Below are 16,981 nucleotides of genomic sequence, written 5' to 3' on the forward strand. Positions count from 1 at the left end.
CTAGAAGGTGAGTTAAATAAAATGAACCATGAGCACTTCACAGTAGTATAATATGCTTTTTAAGGTGTTGAAATTCACATTTTCATTGAAAAAGTTATACATTTTTTAAAACCATCTTCTGTATTATAAATGTTTTCAAGAAGCACTGAAGAAACACATAGCTTGAGATTGTCAAGTGACTGCAATGCTTCTCCTGTAAGGATCTGAACATTTAAATGTTGCCATCCTTGTCAGTGACACCAACATTTTACTCTCTTCCCCCGTTAAGTGGACCATCATGTTGATCTGTGTATACTCTCACTTTCTCGACGTTATCTGAAAACGGTTATCTGAGAGCATGCTTTCTCTTAGTAGCAGCCCCTGAAAATGCAGTAACAGGGAAATTCAGGTCATTCATTGACTTACCATTCACCCAATAAACTTTTATTGAGCACTTGTGGTGTACATATTAGAAGCGTATGATATTGAGAAACGAGCATGTGAGTGGGAAGTAAATAGTCTATGGGTCCAGGAAAACTGGGCGTGGAATCCCACTTCTGCCCTTGCTTGCAGTGTGGCTTTGGGTGATATATTTAACCTAACTGCATTTCAGCTTCTTTGCATCTCATCTTTATATATGTGATTATAAAGATTAGAAATATCATATAGATAGATCCTAAGATATGAGAGATGCTCATCTTAGGAAATTACTTTCTTCTTTTTCTTTGTGGAAAGAGCTAGAATAAATTTTAGGAAAAAAAAAGAGAATGGCATAGTAAGAAGTGCAGTCTTGTATTAAGAAGTATCTGGATTTCAATTCACATTCTAGCACTTTGGGGTCCAGTGGAGTGTCAAAATACCTAGTGCTAACTTAGTAGTACAGAGAAAAATGTAGGTTTTTAAAATTTGATCTATAATCTGTCAAATTCCTCTGATAAGGGAGTCAGTGTTATATATCCAACACAATTAAGCTATAAAGCTCAGGCAGGTGCAATAATTTAAATGGTGTCATTAGATCAGTGGTTCTCAAATAGTAATGCACATTAGAATCACTGGGAGTGTTTTAAAAATACAGATTGCTGAATGCCACCTCCATATGTTCTGCTTCAGTAGGTCTAGGGGCTGAGAACTTGCATTTTAAACAAATTAATCAGGTGATGCTGATGATGCTGGTTGGGATACCACATTTTGAAGACTTCTGTTTTAGGTGATGCTCAGTCTGCAACGAAAATTTCTCTTTGTCTTTTATTTCCTCTTACCTTTCAACTCTCTGGACAACCAATTTATTTTAATAAAATTTTTTATCTACTGTTGACAAGAATATAAGCATATTTGGATAATTCTGAATATGTGTGTTAACATTTACTTGTTGCTATAGTTATCACGTATGTCAACATAGTTAAGATAGGCTCTGATAAAAACAAAGATGGGCTGAGTGCAGTGGCTCACACCTGTAATTCCAGCACTTTGGGAGGCTGAGATGGATGGATCACTTGAGGCCAGGAGTTCTAGACCAGCCTGGCCAACATGGTGAAATGCAGTCTCTATAAAAAAATGCAAAAATTAGACAGGTGTGATGGCGCATGTCTGTAGTCCCAGCTACTTGGGAGGCTGAGGCACAAGAATTGCTTGAACCCGGGAGGTTGGGGTTGCAGTGAGCTGAGATTGTACCATTGAACTCCAGCCTGGGGAACACAGTGAGACTCTGTCTCAAAAAACAACAACAACCAAACAAAAACCGTAAAGATTGCATTCAAAGAACTTGGGTTATTTAGAACATTAAAATATTTATAACTCTTGTGACTTGACATTATTATAATTTATATTTTTTGCCCTTCGAGTAATATTATGGACTCACAGCACTTCAAAGGTTTAACTCTGCCCAATGAACTCTAACAATTATCTTTGCTTTTATTTTTTTAGTTAGGACCATAGTCCTCTTTAGCATGATTTCAGCTATCTTTGAAAGCATGCTGGCAGTCTAGCATCAAGTTATTCCAGGCACAACTTGATTTTCCGTGTCCAAAACATGGATCCTAACTATTCACATTATTCGCTGTTAGTGAATAATAGTATTAGAAGTATACATTCTGTATTCTAGGAGTATATATTAGATTAGTTAATGGAGCTGGGAACATTTATTAAAACTCATGAATTCCTATTAATATATCTAATTTATTAAATTACTTTAAAGTCATTTCTTCTATTTTAAAAATGTGATGATTTTTGCTTTTTAAATATACCATCTCTTTCACAACTTTTAATCAATTTTGTATGCTATGCTGTATTATATTATTGCAAATAATATTGCTAATTTAGAATATTACCATTTTTCATTCAATCTAAGATGCTACATATTGCATCATTAAGAAAAAAACAATGCTTTTTAATATCCATATTCAAAAACTGAATAGTGACTTTTACCTCATACCATACACAAACATCAGTTTAGGTGTGTTGTAGACCAAACTCTGAAAGGTAAAACAGTAGGCTTCCAGAAGATAACCTTCATATTTTAAAGCAGAAAAAATATTTATTAGGCAGAACATAAAAGCTTTAACCATAAAAGAACATTAATAAACTAGACTACCTTAAAAATAGGATCACCATTAAGAAAGTGAAAAGATAGTCCACAGAGTAGGAGAAATTATCTATATTACATATTACTGAAAAGCATTTTTATCCAGAATGTGCAACGACTTCTCCAAATCAACAAGGAAAAAGACACAGTTCAATTTTAAAATTGATAAATGGGCAAAAGGCTTCAACAATCACTTCATCAGGGAGGATATCTGAATTGCCACCAAGATACATATAAAATAGTTTGACTCATTCATAGTCAGGGAAATGCAACAGTAAGCCATAGTGAAAATGTACTTCATACCAATAAGAATGGCTAAAATAAAATTTGCTGAAATAGCCAATATTGTTGTATGTGTAGAGCTGCTGGAATTTTCATGGGTGCCTTATTTGTACAAGCACTTTGTAAAAGTGTTTGGTAATACTGTTAAACATATGCACAGCCTATGACCTAGTAATTCTACTCCTATGTATAAGCCCAACAGAAACTTGTGCATATGTGCACCAAAAGCCATAATGAGAATGTTTATATAAGTATTATTCTTAATTTCTAAGGTCTGGAAAGAGTCCAGTATCAACTAAAAGTAAATTGAGTAAATAAATTGTGATATATTTATACTATGAAATATCAAACAACAGGGAAAATTAATGAATTACTGCTACATAAAGCAACCCAGATGAATTTAATAAATGTATTTTTTTCCTAAAGACTCCAGATACAAAATAATATATACTGCGTGACATTATTTATATAAATTTAAGAAAACAGAAAAACCGAATCTGGTGGCGAAAGTTAAATTACTTTTAGGGAAGGAAAAGGGTATTGACTAGGAGGGGGCACGAGGCGGCACTCTGGGTTTCTGCAGATATTCTAGTTCTTGACTTGGTTGCAAGTCTGTGTTCACTATTTATAATAGCTCATCAAGCTGTGTCCTTTATTTTATGTACCTTTGTTTATACTTCAATGAAAACTTTTTTATTGAAAAACTGTATGCAAAAAGTTATATGGGAACAGCATAGAATAAAAATGGCTGTATCTGACTTGGGACATCACAGAAAGCATCTCAGAGAGAAGACTAGAAGTCAGACTGTATCATTGATACATTCAAAGGCAAGTGAAGAAATCCTTCTTTAGTGGGTTAAAGAAGTAAGTGCTTTATGTTTGTCATAACAAAAACAACTCAGAAATGTACGTATCACAACAACATCATCAAGAATTCTGGCTAACTCAGCTCTTGCTGTCCTTAAGGTGTGGTTTTTGTCCTTCTGGCTGAAAGGTGGTTGTTGCTTCTGTGAGGATTTAGCCAAAGTTATAGGAATAGAGAAGGAAAGAGGAAAGAGTTGCCCAGCAATCTTATCCTATGCTTTATTGACTATAGCTGTGTCACCCCTAGGTTTAGGGAAACCTGGGATGACAAAATAGAGGGAGGCAAGGAAAAGTGGTTTGAAATGGGTGTTGAGTGAGCCAACATGTGTGACTTGCCATAGGCGTGAAAGGTTTATCTGCCAAATATGCTTTGGGAGGGTACAAAAATGAAAAGGAAAAAAGTGTATGTAAGTGTAGGTTTTTGCCACCATATGCTTTCTCTAGCCTAAATAAGGTCACGTTTCCAGAAACTTTCCCTTTCTCTTCTTATATAGGAGGATTTAAGGAACACTGACTATACTTTATGTTATGGCAGTCCTCAAGGAATGAAGGACCATGAAGACTTTCACTGCTTAGGTATTTAATTAGGAAGCAGAAAGCAGAGTATCTGGGCTTGCATAATAACAATGAAGTCCAATTATTTTCCTCTTGGTTGTTCTTCTTTGGCATAGGTGAAATGATGGGAAAAATGTTTAATTTCAGGCATCAATTTTCCAAAGCATTCAGTAGATCGGCATGCAAACTTAAAATTTCCTTAAGAAAGCAAGAAAAGGCCGGGCGTGGTAGCTCACGCCTGTAATCCCAGCACTTTGGGAGGCCGAGGCAGGCGGATCACGAGGTGAGGAGATCGAGACCATTCTGGCTAACACGGTGAAACCCCGTCTCTACTAAAAATATAAAAAGTACCCGGGCGTGGTGGCGGGCACCTGTAGCCCCAGCTACTCCGGAGGCTGAGGTTGGAAAATGGCGTGAACCCGGGAGGCGGAGCTTGCAGTGAGCCAAGATCGTGCCACTGCACTCCAGCCTGGGCGACAGAGCTAGACTTTGTTTCAAAAAAAAAAAAAAAAAAAAAAAAAAAAAAAAAAAAAGTTAAAAATTTAAAAAAAAATTTAAAAAAAGCAAGAAAAGAAGAAAAATATGTCAGTAACTTGAGAAAAAACAAAATTATCTTTTAGTCCGTTCACATTCAGTACAACAGAATGAAGAATCTGTCAATTCTTGAATTAGTGGGAATTGGTCAATCATTTATGCAACAAATAATTGTGCACCCATTATTATGATGATTCCGGAATTAGCCAAGTTGCACATTTAGTAAATGCTTAAATTTAAATCGAGGCTTTTTTGACTGTAGATCCAATGGTCTTTCTATTCTGTGCGTTGTTTGGAATGATCTTGATTGCTATAATGATCCTAATAGTTGATGCATCTACCCATCTGCCCAACTGTCCAACTAAGTGGCCAGTTAATACTAACAATGCCCAAAAATGATATATTTGATATAATTTCACATTATTTTATATCAGCCTCAGTCATTGTCAGTAGATTCTAAGATATTAACTATTAACTAATTGTAAAAGGAAAAAATTCTCATGCAGACAATTTTCTGATTTTTCCCTGGGGGTGGGAGCTCACTGGGTTAAAGAATTTAGGTGTAATTTCTAGCTCAAAGTTCTACCAACATAGGTGTGGGGGCCTGTATATAACTGGTGCAATCTGATATTTTGAAACATCATTTTAGAAAAAATTAAGAAAGCCTTTAAACATTACATTCTTATGGTAAAAAAAACAACAACAAAAGGAAAGAAGAAAGTTTCCAGAAATGCCATACACACATCACTTACTTTTCCAGGCTTAACTAGTCCCAAACTGTTTCTTAATCAGGATTGGTATGAGCAACATGTAAGAAATGATGTTGTTCAGGGAGGTAGAACTTCCATTTAGCTTCATATATTGAATTACTTTTCTTGGCATTCTTGTTTTGGAGACTTTTTGGAGGACTTGTTTGGGACTTTTTAACTTTTCCTAAATTCACAGTTAAGGCAAAACTGTTTCAACTGCCACTAAAAACATAACCTTAAACAAAATAAAGTACTATTCAGAATATACTTAAAATAGAATTATTTTGTTCTAAAATGTTAGTAATTTTATGGCAGTGACTCAAAGCAAAATTAGGCAAAGAGCTCATTGGTGGGTCTCTTTGCTTGGATGAACCTGAGGCAGCATATGCATCACCCATGAACATGGGGAACATTGAGACTGAGTTGTAGCTTTGCCTGTATAATGTACAGAATATGTTTATTCTTTTACTGATCTTGAGCAACTGAGAAACACTTAATGACTACACTTAGCATATTAAATGGGGTGAGCTTTTTCTTCCTTATCTTTTAAAGTTAGAGAAAAAAAATATGGCTTACCTTTCAATCATGGAATATGAGTCCATACGCGTGAAAGGGAAGCAAGGACACAGAGTTTCCTGTGGCTCTTTCAACTATAACCTACCTTAAAAATAAATATAATTATTTGTCTGGAAAAGTAAAACTAATTTGTACACATTTTACTGTGTGTCAGTGATCCATTGCAGAGAATGGAAAATCCCTTCTAATGGCTCATGAAACTTGTCACAGGTAGGTGGTATTTGATGACTCACAAAAGAGGAACTGTGGTGCAGATTAATTATTTTTTTGGCTATAAAATGATACTGGTTTATATTATGCTAATAATGGGAAAGTTAATAAATAATTCAAGTCATTAAAACTAAAATTTCTGATGCTGTTAATCCAAGAATATTTTGAAAGCACGAACATTTATGGTAATCTACCATAATTATTAATATTCACGTCCTTAATATAATCTACCATTAATTGCTAATATTCTTCAGAAAATCTATTCTTTATCAAGCAGTAAATAATTGGTTTCATTGTTTCACTCAATAAGGGAATAATCTCAACATTGACACTTAATACTAGAGTTTCCATCCTACACATAAGTATCATACCATAAAATAGTTTTAAAATATGCCATTAACCAGGCCTAGTGTGGGCGAGGGTGTTGGAAAATGGGTATCTTCATATATTGCTTGTGGGAGTAAACCAGTACAACATTCCCAGAAAGAAACACATATCAAAAGATGACATACTCTTTGAACCAAAATATAATTCTAGAAATCTTACCCAAGGAATTAATCAGACAAATAAGCATATTCATTGCAATATTATTTTTAATAGAATAAATAAAATAATTAAAATTTCTTACAAGATGATTTTAAATATGTTAATACTAATCTGTACCACAAATTTTCGTAATTTAAGTTTCACAAATTTATGTTGTTGATATAGAAAAAGTTCATATTATGCTGCTAAGAGGGAAAATGAGGTTACAGAAAACTATGTGGTATATATAACTCTACTTTTGTAGAAATAAGTATATTTATTTATAGTCAGACATATATGATATGTAAATATACAGTCATAGAGAAATTAGCCAGTTATAATCGCATTCGATATATTAGAGGCAAATGAATAGAAAAGAAAAAAACTATTATGATGTTAAAATAGTCATCCCTCTTATAAGGAATTATTTAAAAAATTATCTTCCTTTTGCTGTTCTCTGTCTTTATCTTTTTTCTAAAATAAATTCAAATGCTCGTTTGTATAGTGACAATTAAAATTAATAAAATATTGGCTAGTCATTGGTTTCTTTCTCTACTCTCCCTCTGGGATGGCTCTGTCTTCTTGATAGATTGTGAGGGCAGAAAGAGCAATCAAAGCAGCAGACTGCCCAGATCCCACCTGCCCTTTTCTACCAAGCATAAGGCACCATCAGGCCTATGAAGATTTCTAACTATCTGTTCTTCCCCATTCATACATGCATAAAATCAATTTTTGACTAAGGGGAGTAGGAAGACAATTGGACCTCTTATTAGCAGCTCCCTAATTTCTCTCTGATTTTCCTCCTTCATCGACTGGTTGAGTTGTCTCTCCTTCTTGGTTTGAAAGCTGTTCTTTCGCTTTGATACATCTTTATCCATTCAAAGTATAGGCATTCAAGGTTTGAACCTGGGGCATTAGCAAGCCAGATTCTTCACCTGTAAGTTTAGGATGTCGTGAGAAATTTCTGCTTCTTCCCACTTTCTCACCCTTTTGGGTAATGTTAGAAGAGACTGACCAGGCCCAAGGTTTTGATGGCTCCACCCACAAAGTATTTGAGAGAATCTCGCAAGTGATTGGGCAAAGCATCGTAAGGAGATTTTTCCCCCATTTTGGACGTTATAACCGTCCAGTCTACAGAATATCACAGGCTCTACTTTTGTGTCAATTTAAAATGAGGATACAGAAAATGAAGGCAAAGGGAAACTGTGTAAGTCAGTGGTTAATAACATGAGCTGTTGTGTTAGACTTACCTGGGTTTGAATTCTAACTCTTTCATTTACCAGTGAGGGATGTTGAGGCAACTCATTTAAGCTCCCTGAACCTCAGTTTTCCATGTGTAATATTGGTATATCTATTCTATTATTAATAGGAAGATAAAATCGATGGTATATATAAATAAATTAGAGTAAAATTTGATATATAGCAAGAGCACATGTGCTAGCTTATGATGGCAATGATCATCTATGTTTATTTCATTATGGTTATCAGATGGAGTCCCTCTGAGGAAAGAGGGAAGGCAGAGAAGTTGGGTTAGAAAATGCAACAGCAGCTACTACTGTTATTCATATATTTGTGTAATTATAGTAGCTGTTTCATATTTCCATGTGTAGTATTTATCTACAGTTTATAAATCTGGTTATACTACATTTATAAGTTCAGTTTCTAGTTCAAGGGTGAAACAAAACAAAATAAAATAAGAAAGACACCCAACACAGGTTTCTATATAAAGGGTTAGGCTGCTTGTTACAAACTGGGGCAACTGCATCTGAATTCAGTTTCCTTCTAGTTTTTGTTGGTATCTTTTTAATAGATCTTTCTTTCCACTTTCTCTACTTTTATCTCCTAAGATGAGAGTTTATGGCTAAGAGCCCCATATTTTATTTAATTTAGGTGATAAATAGGAATCCAACATTAGCCTATATTTTCTTATCTTGGTCCAAAGGTTTCATTCCTAAAGTTGGGCTTATCTTTTCCTTACACGTTCATTTCTTAGCTCTTTTTTTTGTATTTGGTATCATTCTTTTTTCATTTTCCCTATGCTAGAATCTTCTCTCTTTTTGAGAGATCTTGACATTAGTAGCTGTGTGATTTAGGCCAGGATGCTGCAGGGTACACAGTCTGTTGTTTTTATTCATTGTTAGGGGTTCCTAAAATATCTCTGAAAATTCCCCAAAGAAAATATAATCTATATATGTGAGAGATAAATTTCTGTAACATAATTGAGTATAGTCTTCTGTATCATTAAGAATTGAAACTATTTGGGCCTTTTATATAGTAAAAAATATATATATTTCAAGAATTTTGTATGCATTTACTGAATTTTAAAATACATTTTATTGCAAATATTTATACCTCTGTGTTTTGTTTCATGTTGGTGAAAAATAGGCAAAGATAAACACAGATTTAATATGATTAATTTTTCCCAGAGGACTTGGCTCTAGCAGTTACAAAATATAAGACAGTTTAATTTATACGGTTTTTATATGTTTCACTGACCATTCCAATCTTTTGTTTTCCTGCAAAATGAAGCCATTTAACGGATACTCACTGTAGTAGTTTCCTGCCTTAACAAGTCATCACAAACTGGGTGGTTTAGAACAACAGAAATCTATTCTCTCCAGTTCTGGAAATTAAACATCTGAAATCAAAATAGCACAGGGCCATTCTCCTTCTGAAGGCTCTAGGCAAGAATGCCTCCTCTCCTTTTCCTAGCTTTTAGTGTTGTCGGCAATCCTTGCAGTTCTTTGGCTTGTAGCCAAATCACTCAAATTTCTGCCTCTGTCTGTGCACGGCCTTCTTTCTGTGGCTGTCTGTATTTCTGAAGCTCTGTTTCCTTGAAAGGACACCAGTCATCATATTTAGGGTCCACCATAATCCAGCATGATCTCATTTTACCTTGATTACATCTGCAAACACCCAGTCTCCAAATAAAGTCACATTTACAGGTACTGGGGTTTAGGACTTGAATATATTTTGCTGAGGGGAGACACAATTCAACTAGCAACACTCACAAAGCACTTCATAACTGTATTATAGAACTTAATTTGTAGTTACTAGTTTAAGTGGTGTCTACCTCTCTTTCATTTTCTCACCATGCCCTACTTCTCAACCCTCAAGGTCAGAGTCAATTTCTTTATTTTCTATATGTCTGCCTTTATAGCTAGCACACTGCCTGAATGAATATAAATGCCTTAAATGAATATAAATGGAATGGAGAATATAAAGAAGGGAGACAACATATAACGTGAAAGTTACGAAAGAAGAAAGAGTTGGTCTGTAACAGATTTGCAAAACTTGCTGGTCATCAGCTGCTTGGTAACTTTTGGGAAAATGTGGGTTTCTCCCTGAGAAACTAATTCATTGAATAATTATGCAACCCAGAAATCTCTGTTATAGACAACTTGTTTAGATGGTTCTATTTTTTGGTCAAGAATAGAAAACAGGCTGGGAGCGGTGGGTCAAGCCTGTAATTCCAGCACCTTGGGAGGCCAAGGCGGGCAGATCACCTGAGGTCAGGAGTTCGAGATCTGGTCAACATGGAGAAACCTGTCTCTACTAAAAATACAAAATTAGCCAGGTGTAGTGGCGTGTGCGTGTAGTCCCAGCTAGTTGGGGAGGCTGAGGCAGGACAATTGCTTGAACCCAGGAGGCGGAGGTTGCAGTGAGCTGAGATTGCGCCACTGCACTCCAGGCTGGTGACAGAGTGAGACTCCATCTTTAAAAAAAAAAAAAGAAAAAGAAAGAAAACATTTGATGCTTGAAAATGACAGATGACAGCGGAAACATACAGGGAATAATCATCCATTTCTCATGACAGTGAAAGCTGTTTCACCTTAGCAAGTCATTTAGTTATTCTGAACTTGTTTCTTCGTTGGTAAAATGAGTGGTAATCGGTTCTAAAATTCTAATTTTCCTGTTTAAGGTCATTACCTCTAAAAATGCTTGGGCATTGTAGAATTTCTTTGGTCTTTATAGAAGAGATCATATATTTGAAATAATTCTCAGTCTCATCATTCTAAGATTGTAAGAAAGGTCCGTGGTTGGTTATCTGTAAGTATTGGAACAATAGATAACTTCTTCCTACTACCTGTCCCTATATTTCACATTTATATAGTGAACAAATATTGCTTTTATAATGAAGAGATATTCATGCATATTCTATTTTTGTTTAACAAGCAAAGATTAAATATCAAGAAACAAAATGCAGTAAGTCAAGTGTTACTATAAAAACTAAAGGAAAAATCTGCAAAAGGAAAGGAGAAGCAAACATAAGTGCATGTACAGTTCAAAAAAAAAAGGAATAAAGTTGATACAAAAGTAGAGAGGGTATTAGGCTTTTAATGTCAATATTCTTGGCCTCTCTTCTGATTTTATATTTTGTCTAAGATCTTTTATTTAATGTTTTTCTGCTAAAAATGGCATTTTCTCTTAAGATTTCTAAGCTGAAGTTGGTTTAAATTCAGAGTATGCTGAATTTGTCTAAACCACAGATTGAATAAAATAATAAAACTGTCATATTGGGGGTGACATTGTCAACAGCATTGTCAGAAAGTGGGTGTTCACAGAAGAAGAAACAAATATAAGAAAACTTGGATAAATGGAATTGCCTACACTTTATTCTTTTTAAAGGAATAAATGGAAAATATTTGTACATCAGGTACATAATCTGTGCATTTATAGATATATATCTATATACTGATACCTGAAGACCTTGCAATAAGAATTTAGTGTTGCTGTTTTAAATTCATATTTCAAATTTTATTCTTTAGATGAAATCCAAATCCAAGAAAAATGACACTGGGGAATGGGTTGACAGAAAAGCCAATTTGACATCTGACAGTTTTATTATTTCCCCTGATTTTCTAGGAGGCTTTACCTTCAGAGGAAAAGTCAAACTAAACAACTCCATAATGAATGGAAGAATTCATCTTTGTGAATTCATGGAGAATCCTTTGATAGTCAGACCACTCATACAAAAATTATTGAGGGCTTAATTTTGATTTTTAGGAAAATAGATCAGTCAGGTGGTGTGAATAATTGATATCATGTCTTAAATTATTTATGTAACAATTATTATTTTAAAAAGAAGATCATCTCAATTATAAGCTTAAATTGATTCATATGTTGAGAAAATTACTTACCTTTACTTCACTCATCATGTTACCTTCTTAATGTTTGTGAGTAGATTCTCATCTCACATTAGCAATCCTCACTGCAGACCAAGAAGGATTATAGAATAAGTTAGAGAGTTTCCTTAAAAATATATGGGAATTTCAATTCATATTTGGATATGTCCTCATTTGTAGAGGTTAGCACACACAATCTATTTTTTTTAAATGTTTCTGGGCTACTTTGCTGGGTTGCCTAGCAACATGAAATCCTGACTATCGAAGGGTAGTCTTCCCCTGGTGAAATGTCAGTCCCCTTATAAATGATAAGCTCTAAGCAGTACCTGACAAATTAGTGATAATTTTTACACAGGATGTGAGATTACTTCTACAGAAGTAGATTTAAATGAGAATTCAGAGACAAAAATTACATTTGAATATTGTATACTAGGACTTCTGGAACAAAGCAGCATCATGATTAACCAGGAATAGGCTATTTATATTTGGGATTCTTATAAGTCTGGAAATACTGATATTGAAGTTTTTTTTAATCCACATTGCAGAGTGCTCACTTCATTGGCACAAAAAGCTGGAGAAGTTTTTATATCATAGCCTGAGTAGATTTTTTTTCTTAATCTATTTTAACACTGATATTGTAATCTAATGGGAGCAAGATATGTTTTAATGATTTGAACATATTCAATCCTTTGATCAACTTCTGTTGATTTTCCCTCTACTTCTTCCTACTTTCATAGCAATACTCCAGTCTGTGCAACAAGAGCTCTCCTTTGGACTTCCAAAATAATTTTCTAACTGGTCTGCCTGCATCCAACCTTTCTTCCACTAGACTGCACGTATTTTTAAAACGCAAATGTAATTATTCCAATCATCTACCCCACTTACTTAAAAGCTTCAAAGAGTTTTTATTACTTTTGGGATAAAAGTAAAACACTAAATGTCATCTTTTACCAGGCTCTCTCTCATTTCTCTAGCTCTGGACAGTTACCTCTTCGAGGTCTTTTCTGTTTCAGGATAATTCAGTGCTTTTGTTTTAGCCCAGAGCACTCTTACAACAACATATATATTTTTTTTCACAGCATGTGCCACATCTGTAATTTTACATTGACTAATGTGATTACTTTATTAGTGGCATGCTCCTCCACTAGACCACAAGTACAATAACATAGAAACCAAGTCTATTTTTAATCATCATACATTCTACAATTCCTAGCATGTAACCTAACAATTGGTAGGTACAGAATAAATATTTTGTTGAATGTATGAAAGGAGGAGTGTAATATATTCTTTTTATCTTTTGAAGGATAATATGGGGTAAACCCTATGATCTATAATATCTTAACATGCCATTGGGTAATAATTATTTTTAAACATTCTATGCCTACTACATTTCTTTTTAATAAAGAGAACTAAAAATAGAGTTGCCTTCTACCTAAATGGTTTCTAGCTCAGGAAAATACTTATATTTCCTCAGTATCTCAAATAATATAATTAAAAAATGTTTTTTCCCTATTTCTTTTGCATGTAACATCATAGGTCCTCAGTGAAATATCATACCCTCTTGGAAATAAATCCTCCATTTCAAAGCAACCCATATAGCTGCGATACATCCATTTTCATTACTCCATTCGTGTAAACAACTAGCAGAGATTGTACTTTTTTAAAAAGTATATAGCATACAGGGATGTGATATTAAATAAATAATCATTTTAGCTCATGGAATTTTTAGATAATATTTTTTGAAAATCAGTGATCTGAAGTCAAACTTAATCAGTGGTGTGGGAGGGATCACTAATTAAATTTCTAAAATTACCTTCTCTATTTATATTTAGAAATTCTCTTCTGAATAAAGTTAGGTGGCATTACGTAAAATGAGGCAACTGAAGTGCTAAACCAAAGACCCAAATTAGCAGCAGGCTTTATTGGTATTTGGAACTTGTAAATTAAAAAATCACAAACATAAATTGTGTCTTCATAGTATATAAATTAATAATGCAATGATGACTTCATCCTCAAGCTTAATCATTCCATAATAAAATCAATTTATGATTAATTCAGTTATCTCAAGTTAAGAGCTATTGGGTTTCTCATAAATCAAAATAACTTTCATAAAGTGTCAGTTCAAAATGTAATTATCTTTGTAGCTATATTTTAGCATTTATTCTGCATCTACAAGAAAGTAATATATCGAAAGTAGCCAAATGTAGCACGATTATAATTGATGAATTGGTTAATTAATTAAAAGCTATCATAGAAGTTGCAAGTTCATAATTTCCCTTATGCTTAAAGATCTCTTCTTTGGTAATTAGCATCAAATTTTGTGATTTTGGAGCAACTGAGTTGTGTATTAGTTAGCTTGGGCTGCCATCACAAAATACTGTAGACTACGTGGTTAAAACAACCAATTTATTTCTCATAGTTCCAAAGTCTGGAAATCTGGAATCAGGGTACCAGCAAGGTCAGGTTTTGGTGAGTGCTTTCTTCCTGGCTTGTAGACAATCCCCTTCTTGTTGTATATTCACATGGTCTTTCTTCAGTATGTGCATTTGGAGAGAGGGTTCTCTCTCTTCCTCCTTTTCTGAGGCAATTGATATTATAGGATTAAGACCCTACCCTTATGATTTATCTCATTTAACCTTACTTTCCTCCTAAAAGCCTTGTCTTCAAATAAAGTCCCATCAAGAACGAGGACTTCAACACGTGAATTTTGGGGATATACAATTCAGTCCACAGCATATGCTTATAAGTTTGCAATCAGCTGTTACATTCCAAATGTTTCTGTGATACAAATATTTCCTGTCATAGCTAATGGAAGTTGCTTGGAACAATATTTTATACAAAGCAAGGACATTTAAAGATTAAAAAAATCTTTATCTGAAATCAGTTTTTTAAGGGATTTGACCTGTAGTTTCAATATAACATGCTCAATCATTTTGTTGCCATCTTTACAGGTTAACACAGTTGCTGAAGATATGATTCACACAGGACAAGTCTCCTGTCTTGCTGTGTTCCTATAAAGATCTGACTCAAGTGTGAGGATCCAATTTAAAACAACATCCTTGCTTGGATGAGAATTGAGAAGGGGCAATGGTAGTAGCAGAACTTTTTCTTACATACAAATTAGTGTTTTGGAATAAGTCATACCTTCTTGAAGAGAGCTAAATTTGTCTGACTTAAGTAGGAACTTAGAAATGTAGAGACAGATTGTCAATTCATAAGGTAATCAAGTACCTCTGCTGGAAAAAGTCTGTAGTACTTTTATGTTGCTATGTTCTGTTGGTTTCTTCTACTGATGGGTAACCATTATTTTTCGTTATATTAGCTTGCCACACTTGAGGACTTGATTTTGGTGTTCCTAAAATGTATAGTGATAATACTTGATTGGAAAGCATAATTTGAATCCTCAGAAAAGTAGATTGTTAGCTATCTCAAAGGATGTGCACTCAATTTGCAGCTTATTAATTCCTGGTTAATTCTCAAGATTTCTACATGACAATTCAGAGAAACACAGAATAACATACTCCCATATTCTCAGCTAAACATAATTTATACATGCAAACCTTTTAGTTGATGTTGTGTGGGATATCCAAGAATGTTTTTGTATACAACTTTGGAGTTAATTGCTGTAATTTAGACATGGTCTGGATTGCAAATCAAAGTTCTAGACCATGCTGCTGGAAATGCTCAATATTTTCCTTACCCAAATTCCTTCTTGAAGAAACTGTTCATCCAGAACTCTGGAAGCCATTTAAATGATCTCTTCTAGCTATGGAGAATTTATACAGAGATAATGTAAATTAGTTAACTAGGGAGCTGGACCTCTATTCACGATAGACCATTTTCAAGGATAGCAGGAAAACTGGCTATCAGAGAGAAAGAGAAGTTTGGAGAAGATATGCAGCAGGAAGCAGAAAGAGAAAATAATTCTGAGAGAGAAGGAAAGAAATTTCCACTAGTGAATTTCCATTTCCCTGGCTCAGTCCCTCTGGTGTCCAGCTCCTTTCATTTCTTGGCCAAAAATGAATGTGTGATCAACTATTGCACACCTACAAAAACATCCATTTTGAATTTTAACTTATTTTTGTGTGCTTTTGTTCTTTGCCATCAAACATGTCTAACTAAGAGAGATATATTTTCTACCCTCCAAATTCTTCATTTTTTTCTTTTCACAGAGTAGAGCTTTGTGTATAGTTTGTTTGGAACCAAAGTGAATGAACAAGGGTGATAGAGTCATTCTGCACTTCAGTACCGGAAGACCCTGTTAGTAAGAGAATTCTTTCAATAACTTTTCTTGGCATCGAGGATTCTGGCTGTGGCCTTTCTCCAGGAGGACCATGGGCGAAAGTCAAGATGCGTTATCAAGGCCCATTTTAAGCTTTTGACAGACAGTTAACTTCTGTTTGTTTTTAGCCATGGAATTAGTTGCCCTGTGAGAACTAAGAAACATTTTAATGAGAATAGGTATCACCTCTTAAGCAGAACTGAAAGCTATTTTTGTTTCTTCCCAAGTTCTCTATTAAATAGCAGACCAGATTCATACCAGAAATAAGCCATTGATATTTCTACCATGTTGTATCTTCCATTTTTGTTATGGATGTCAATTAGTATTGATGATATTAACCCTATTATATCATTAGTCTTTAAGGTACTTCATTTATAGGACTAGAATTCCTGTACTTTAATTTATGTATGTAATCTAACTTTAGATCACTACATGCTCTTTTTAATCTTCAAAGATGCTGCTTATTCCCTAAACATCATTCCTCAAATATCTATTATCCTTACCGCCTACTCACTCTGCTTTTGCTGTCAGGCCAGGGATTGCTGATGAAAGAAAATGCACAAGAGTTTGAAAATTGCAGATTCATTCTTTGGAGTTTCATCATGATTATGCCTGTCATCACATCAACCCTTTTATTCACCTCTCAAATGTCACCAAGCTATTATCCTGGTTATTATTTTCTACTTAAAACATTTAACCATCCTCCATTTTTCTTTCC

General features: G+C 34.3%; 2 long non-coding RNA genes across 3 annotated transcripts in view; one reads left to right on the plus strand and one right to left on the minus strand.

Moving 5' to 3' along the window:
- Positions 1-259: 259 nt before the first annotated feature.
- Positions 260-16,981, minus strand: part of LOC105376604 (uncharacterized) — a 46,463-nt gene continuing 29,741 nt past the window's right edge. For both annotated transcript variants that reach the window (XR_931149.3, XR_007062637.1), the window contains exons 3-4: positions 11,997-12,067; positions 260-360 (exon numbers count right to left, since the gene is read on the minus strand). This is a non-coding gene — a long non-coding RNA (uncharacterized LOC105376604). The remainder of the gene's footprint in view (positions 361-11,996; positions 12,068-16,981) is intronic.
- Positions 7,930-16,981, plus strand: part of LINC02742 (long intergenic non-protein coding RNA 2742) — a 162,086-nt gene continuing 153,034 nt past the window's right edge. Inside the window, exon 1 of the long non-coding RNA NR_183752.1 lies at positions 7,930-8,062. This is a non-coding gene — a long non-coding RNA (long intergenic non-protein coding RNA 2742). The remainder of the gene's footprint in view (positions 8,063-16,981) is intronic.

Source organism: Homo sapiens, chromosome 11 (genome assembly GCF_000001405.40).
Source record: "Homo sapiens chromosome 11, GRCh38.p14 Primary Assembly".
Taxonomy (NCBI): domain Eukaryota; kingdom Metazoa; phylum Chordata; class Mammalia; order Primates; family Hominidae; genus Homo; species Homo sapiens.